Raw genomic sequence first — 6000 nt, forward strand, 5'->3', positions numbered from 1 at the left:
ACAAAAATTCTATTCAGAATCATCATTTCATGATTTGTGTGCTGACATGTTTCATTCAAATGATAAGTATTGCGTTTTAAAAAATGATAATTAAAATTTTTAACTCCACTGGGTGCCAAGGATTGCCGAGTTTAGCCATTGAGTGATGGCTGTTTTGTACTTAGATGGGCTGAGATGCGTCCTTCAGAGAATCCTTTGCAAAATTTAAAAATATGTATAATTAACCTGTGTGTCTATCCAGATATTTAATGATGGGAGTAGAGGGGTAGGGCTTACTCCACCAGCAAAGACCCCAAGGACCCTGGAATTAGTTCTGTGTTACTCCAAAGAGGAAAACCTGATTTCTGAGCTTTTAAAAATCTACAATTTTAAAAAGAAAACTGGCTGCTGTTGTATTCAGTGTTTGAGATGAGGCTTCTTTCTGCAGATTAGAGCACGGCGGGCTCTACTGAGAATGTCAGGACCCTTGCCATGAAAACGCCCATCCTCCAGGGTGACCCCCATCCCTGAAAGCCCAGGACTCACTGCCCAGTCTGTATTGAGGGAAGCATTGACATTGAGGCCCCCTGGCTTCTCCCCCCAGCCCCAGAAGCACTTAATGATACGACCAGGAAAATTTACTTTTCTGCCTTTTGCTTAAATTTTCATAAAATTATATCCTGAGAAAGGTTAGAGCTTACACCGCTCTGTTCAGAAACAGCTAAGCAATTGTGATATTTTAATTATTTCTCTCACATTGCCCCGTGACAGCAAGGATTGTTCTGTTTCCATTAATGATTTGAGGAGGAGGAGCAGGTCCAGGTGGGTCATATTTACACAGTCTTTTGTACTAACGCAGCAGAGCGCCAGGGAGGTTTGCTAAATTTTTCTGACTTTTTTCATTGGTAAATAGCTATGTCCTTTAGGAGCCTCAGCCATTTAGACATTTCAGTTCAATTACTGGGTGATTATGTACTTTGGGCTCAAGGGGTGACAGAGAAGAATAACAATTAGGCTTATGGCAGTGGTGTGGGGGCTTTGCATAATAATCCTTTGAAGTTATGTTTATTTTACCACAAAACTGCAAACATACGATTATGTGATTTCACCCTTATAGCAAGAGTGTTAGCAGCAGCAGGTGAAGTGGTACAAAGGGAGGTGAGCGCTCCCCAGAACGGGGTCGCTGGGCCCAGTCCCAGTGTGCAGCTAAGCACTGAGTCATTTTAAAGCAGCTTGCAACTTGAGTTCCGATCACTGGGGATAGACATAGAATTGGGGTTTTCCTTTAAATTTTTTTCTTCCTAACTCACCAACTGTATTGCTACGTTGTCATTGACCCTAATTTCCCAACCAATGCATAGGAGACTAGGTTATCTTAATCATACCACTGATAGTGATAATGAACGTGGCGACCCCGACTAGTATTTGTCGAGTGCTTCCTCTGTGCCCAGGACTAATTCGAAGTACTTCCCACCTATGAACTCATTCATTCCTCACAACTGTATGCGGTGGGTTCTGTTAGTTTCATGCTCGGTTTACAGGTGAGGAGCCAGGCACAGCAGGGTTGAGGAATGGACCCAAGGCCACATGGCTTACGAACGACTAAGTGACTAAACATGGGCTTCGAGCCCAAAAAGCTGTTGCTGCAGAACCACACTCTGAACACCTCCTTACAGGCCTTGGGATCTGCCCCAGGTGGGGATCTCTGCTGTCACTCAGAGGCAGGGTGTCTCCTACGGGGTGGGGAGCTAGAGGCAAGGCTTCAGGATGGTGCTGCGCGGCCAGGGCTGCTCATCACCTCCCACTGCAGCCCTTGTGGATGGCAAAATGTAACCACCCCATGGTCTGCTGGATTTGAGAAAATAAGTTGAAAGATGTTTTTATGATTCTGTAGCAACTTCAATTGAATACGGGTATACTTAGTAACACAGAAACTCAATTTGTAAGGATACAAATGGATTGACTAATCCGGGGAAGGATTGGGATACCTACAATCTGAAGATTTGCTTGACACGTTTCCCCTTCCTTCATTGATGTCCGAGGAAACGTGTCCACCCTTCACTTCGTGTAGTTTTGTGTGTCCCAGCAAATGAACTCCACACATGGCATTGGGGCCCCTCGGCCTCCTAAGTCGGTCCCAGGGAACAGATCTTCATCTTCTGTGGTGTGGGGACAAGATGGCCCTAGGCACTTGGAGAGAGTCGGCCACCTGTCCCAGCCTGTGGGACGCTGGCAAGGAGGCCAGGGAGAGGGCAAGTGGCTTCTCAGTCCAGCAGTCTGGTTTGGCTTGGTCGTCGTGCACCTGCAGGCGTCACCCTGATTTGCACTCATGTTTGCAGTTTGAGACTTGGAGTTAATAACTAATCATGTATTTTTTTCCTTCAAATGTAGAATTTTTTAAAGTTTATGGTATTCCCCAAAATGTGTGTTGGGTGAGGATGTTGCTTTATAGGTAGTCAGTTTTTAAAGAGAGAGAAAACCTGTGAAATAATGACAGACAATGGTTTATGTAAGTGAAACAAACTTTTTTAGGCAGTGTATGCAAAAAGGTGATTAAAAATTCTAAGGTTTCTGATTCGACATTTCTATAGTTGACAGCCTTTGAAAAACTGTTAACTTTAAAGCATGTCTAATCTATTTCCAAATGTTCAGAAACCTGTACATGCAAATAAAGGTTTCTACTTTTTTCTGAGGGAAAATTTCTTATTATTTTATTATAATTTATCTGAAGATAGCGGATACCATTGAAAGCTAATTATTGAATTGTTAGCTTAAAAGATACCAAAAAGTAAAATCTCTTTTGGTGACAATTTGTGCTTTTTACATAACTTTTATTCTTATGACAAAAGTGATACATAGTCATTGTAGAAAACTTGGAAAATAACCATGAAGTTAATAAAAAGTATTGTTTTCATCTAGAGAAAAATCACTGTTACTATTTTAGTGCTAACATCTTTTTTCCATATTTCTACAAACTAGAGATCATGTTCAACATACTTTTTGTACCTTGCTTCTTCTTTACCTGACAGTAGATAATGTCTGTTTTCTCATTTCATTACATATGGAGGATTTTTAAATCTTATTGAGCTGTACTGTAATTTATTTAATCAATTCCTTATTACAATTTTAAAAGCAACATTTAGATTTTTCAAGTTTTCTCAGTTAGAAATATTGAGTACAAAAAATTCTACTCAATATTATTGTGAATATTTTTGATTATTTCCTTACAACAAATACCTAGAATTGAAGTCGCTGCATCGTAATGTGATTTGATGCACATGGCCAAATCACCCACAGGAAGACTTGTACTGGTTTACACACTTATTTGCATGAGAATGACTTTCTACACACCTTTGCCGTGTGAATACAAGGGTTTGATGTTTTTAAGTTTTTGGCCATTTTCACTAATTAACCAATTTAATCTTGATGTTTTCATGTATAATATTTTTTAACGCTGGTTGTTCACTTACGTTATTTAAAAAAGAATCATTCAAGGACATGTATGATTTTCGGAGTACTTTTACATTAATTATGATTTTATTTATTTATTTATTTTAAATCAGGGTCTTACTCTGTTGCCCAGGCTGGAGTGCAGTGACATGATCTGGGCTCACTGCAGCCTTGACCTCACTGACTCAAGCAATCCTCCCACCTCAGCCTCCCAAGTATCTGGGACCACAGTTACACACCACCATGCCTGGCTAATTTTTGTAATTTTTTTTTAGAGATAAGGTTTCACCGTGTTGCCCGGGCTGGTCTCAAACTCCTGAGCTCAAGTGATCCGTCCGCCACGGCCTCCCGAATTGTTGGGAGTACAGGCGTGAGTCAGCCTGCCCAGACTTCATGATTCATTTAAACTCAAGTGGTCACAGACAACAACAGCAAAGAGGAGAGAAAGAGCTGAACTGAGACCCTGTGGCTCCTCTGTGGATGCGGGACTAGAACAGGGTAGTTATTTTCCAGGTCTGTTCCCCCTTGTTCGTCCACAAAGCTATGTCTCATTAAAGGGTCCCCAGTGACTTCAAGTGCATAATGTACTTTTGTACTCTCTTCAGATTTCCCAACTTGCTCACAGGGAGAGGAGTTTCCAATTTTATGAGTTCTGTTGCTGATCTGCAATTAGTATTGATTAGCAAAACAAAAATAATCTCAAAATAGAGTGGTCACCACCCTAGTAGGATGAGATTTGATCACTTAGAGTAACTCCATAAAAAAAAAAACACTTGGATTAGACCTAGAAGTCAAGAGACTGGGACTACTTTTAAATCTGTATCAGAATATCTCCCACAGGTGAGTTTGTTCCAGAGCTGAAATTCAAGGGTCCTGCTAAGCCCTTGATATCTTTGACCCAGATTCTTGATAGCCACACGCAGAGGCCAACAAGCAAAGGGTGAGGACGATGAGGAAGCATGTTACCTTGAATAAGACCAGGATGCGCTGAAGAGTACGTGGGATTCATTTTCTTTCTTAAACATCAATAGTGTTTCACCAAAAGTGTTTAGATGACCTGTAACTAGTCAGTCATTATTTTTCTTACATCACCCAAAAATATTTACAATTTGATCTGACTGGTATAAAGTCTGTCTTATGATGTGTAGAGTGTATTTTACTTTGAACAGAGAGTAGAAACAGTGGGCCCACATATTTGATCATATTTTGTTGAAATACTTCAGATATGGCACACATCATATTTAAATAGTAGCTAAAAATGTAGTTTTCTGGTTAGAATGCAGTGCTTAAAGATGAATTTAAAAGGAGGTCTTTAAGACTGAAGCATTCTGAACAAAGCTGAACTTGCAGGGATATTTTTCCTTGAAAGCTTTTTTGACCAAAAGTACATTAGCGGCAAGGAACTGGGGACAGATACATTGGGAACACCAGTTTCTAAAGTATGTAAATAATAAGGAAAAGCCCATTTTGTGTAACTGTAACCGTTTGCCAAATTCATCCAATCAATTCATACACAACTGGGTTTCCTATGGGCTGTTACAAAACCCCAACTGGTCCTAAGACTAATACATTTTTCTCCTTTCAGTAAATGTTTCTTCTTTATATACATTTTAATGTATTTATGCATGTTTTCGAGTAATTTTTCCAATTTTCTCCAACAAACTAAACTAAAATTTTCCTTTTCTCATTGTAGAACAGCAGAGTATGTGGATGTGTGGTAAGCACGGTGTGATAACAAAACCAAAAAGGATGGGCATTTGGGAATAATTTATTATCATGTAGTTTAAAATTATATATTCAATCGTATTTCTAAGCCATAGCTTTCATGTCATTATGACCAATTGATTAATGATTGGGCATTAATTGATTAATATTAATTAATGATTGATTAAACATACCCATTTCAACTTTTGACTCTTTTATGTCATTAAAATTTTAGAAAGCAGTATTTAGTTCTGTTTTGATTTGTTAAGTTTAAGAGACAGTAATGCCCTAAATACTTGCGTTTCGTTTGTAATATGTTTATTTACAAATTAGAAAAATCTAATTTCCATTTTTAAAGCAATTAATTTTCCTCCCAGATATCCCCATCCTTATTGTTTTAGAGTTGTGAAATTCACACATCATTCACTTGGATACACAAGATTCCAGGATGGGGAGCTCAATTATTGGTCCTATTTAGTGGAACCATGGGTTTTTGCATTGTTGAATGGGTAATAAATGACCACATCTCAAAATTGGACTCTGGACATATTGATTAGGACACATTCCATTTTCCATAATTTTTTTCATCAATTAGTGGAAACTAATAGCATTAAACTCTAAAATAATCTGCAAGCAGAAATCTGATGGAAAGGGCTTTGTCCAAACTTCAGATTATGATGAAAAATATTTTTTTAAATAGGGAATTTAAAACAATCTTTTGCATGGTGACTGTTTTCTTAAATGTAACGTGAATATTTGTCTTTAAGTTCTGGTTAGATAGTTGGAGCCTCACACTATGTAATATCTTATTTGTTGTCATGGAAGCTTTGTAATATCACAAAATTCTCCTAAGGAAGCCAGGAAAGC

This window comes from Homo sapiens, chromosome 18 (genome assembly GCF_000001405.40).
Source record: "Homo sapiens chromosome 18, GRCh38.p14 Primary Assembly".
In the NCBI taxonomy this organism is placed as follows: domain Eukaryota; kingdom Metazoa; phylum Chordata; class Mammalia; order Primates; family Hominidae; genus Homo; species Homo sapiens.